The sequence below is a fragment of the Homo sapiens genome, chromosome X (genome assembly GCF_000001405.40).
Source record: "Homo sapiens chromosome X, GRCh38.p14 Primary Assembly".
NCBI lineage: Eukaryota > Metazoa > Chordata > Mammalia > Primates > Hominidae > Homo > Homo sapiens.
The window spans coordinates 94400313-94402270 of NC_000023.11; the positions used below are offsets into that span (position 1 = coordinate 94400313).

At 47.4% G+C, this 1958-nt stretch overlaps 1 annotated feature.

Annotated features, from left to right (window-relative positions):
• Nucleotides 246–535: an enhancer, noted in NCBI's record as "active region_29795". NCBI's record gives its function as "activates an Ori minimal core promoter by ATAC-STARR-seq in GM12878 lymphoblastoid cells {active_cell/tissue: GM12878}" and the evidence as "EXISTENCE:reporter gene assay evidence [ECO:0000049][PMID:35858748]".

The window sequence follows — 1958 nt, forward strand, 5'->3', positions numbered from 1 at the left end:
CTGTGTCTGGGCTTTAAAGAGTTAGATATTTTTTGTAGTCTTCAATGTCTGGCCTTTTTTGTTCCCGTCCTTCTTGGGAAGGCTTTCCAGGTATTTGAAGGGACTTGGGCCCCAAGCTCAATAATGCTGTAGTTTTTGCAGACCTGTAGAGGTATCACCTTGGTGTTATTGGATAAGATCCAGAAACATTCTCTGCAATATAAGCAAAGACTGTTATTCTTTTCCCTTACTTTTTCCCAAACAAATGAAGTCTCTCTCTCTCTGTGCTGAGACACCTAGAAGTGGGGGTGTGGTGATGCAAGCTCCCCAGTGATCAACACCACTGGGATGGTGCTGAGTCATACCTGAAGCCAGCACAGTACCAGGTGTTTCCCAAAGCGTTTCCTTTCAGGGCAGTGATTTCTACCAGGACCGAGGCATGTCCAGACATGCTGCCTTGGAGCCAGGTATTTAGGTCAAATACCTTAGCAGTTTACTGGGTGTTCTGGTGTACTGTGGCTGATTTGGCACTCAAACTACAATATAAAGTCATTCCTACTCTTCTCTCCCCTTTCTACAGGCAGAGAAGCCTCTCCCTGTATCCACCACCACCACTGATCCATAGGGAGTTCTGCCAGGCCACCACTGATATTCCCCTAAAGCCCAAGTGCTCTTCAGCCAGCTTTTGGTAAACGTTGTCAGTCCGGGGACTCACCCTTCAGAACAGTGGGCTCCCCTTTGGTCCAAGGCAGGTTCATAAATGCTGTCCAAGAGCCTAAGCCTGGACTTGGGGACCCTAAAAGCCTGTTTGTTGCTCTACCCCACTCTGGACAAGCTGGTACCTAAGCTGCAAGACAAAGTTCCCTTTATTTTTCCCTCTGCTTTTTTCAAACAGGAGTCTTTCAACATAGTCACCACAGCTGGGAATGTGCTAGGTCACACCAGAAATCAGCATGTCTTAGTGCCCTAGGCCCATGGCATACTACCTGGGTATTGTTGATGGTAACCCAGGGCCCAAGGGCTCTTTAGCCAGTAGGTGATCAACCCTGCAAAAACTGTATCCTTCCCTTCCTTTTTGACCCATGGTGTGTTCATAAATGTCATCTGAGAGCTAGGGCCTAAAATGGGGGCCTCACAATCCTGGTCAGTGCCCTGTCCTGCTGTGGCTGAGCTGGTATCCAAGATGCAAGACAAAGTCCTGTTACACTGTGCTCCTCTACTTACACAGATAAAAAGGAGCCACTTTTGTTGCTGTGACCTGCACTACCTGGGTTTCGGGGAGAAATGGAACAAGTACTCTCTTAGCAGCACCAACTGGTGTTTCCATAGGTCACATGCCACCCTAGCCTGCTGGCTCTAAGCCAAACCTAACACTAGGAGTTGCCCAGGAATTGGAGTTCTTGTGTTGTAGGCTGTCTTTCAAGTTTACCTAGTACGCCAGAGAATTTTAGCCCACAGTGGAAAGGCTTGTTGAGAAACTCAAATTCTGATCACTGGGATGGGTGAATCCCCTTTGACTAAGGTGAGTCCAAATGCTCCCTACATGCACAGCCACTGGCTGAGCCCAGCAAGAGTTCATTCTCTGCTGTGACAGGGCAGCACTGAGTTCAATGTATTGTCCCACAGAGAGTGTCACTGCACTCTCCCCAAAGTGCACAGATTCTTTCTCCTTACTACTCAGCTGTTGCCTAGACATGAGGGATGGGTGGCATCAGTGATTCAAGACTATCTCTCTTGTCCTCCCCCACGCCTCCTTTAGCTATATGAAGTTAAAACTAGAAAGTATGATTGCTCACCTGATTTTTGTTTGTTGTGACGGTGTGATGGTGCTTTTCTGTGTGCAAATGGTTGTTAAAATTTGGTGTTCCAGTGCGGTGGGGGAGTGGGGATGAACAGTGTAGGCTTCTCTTCTGCCATCGTACTCTGCCCTCTTTGGCTTACATTTTTAATCTTAACCTAAATTATACTTGTTTATGAGT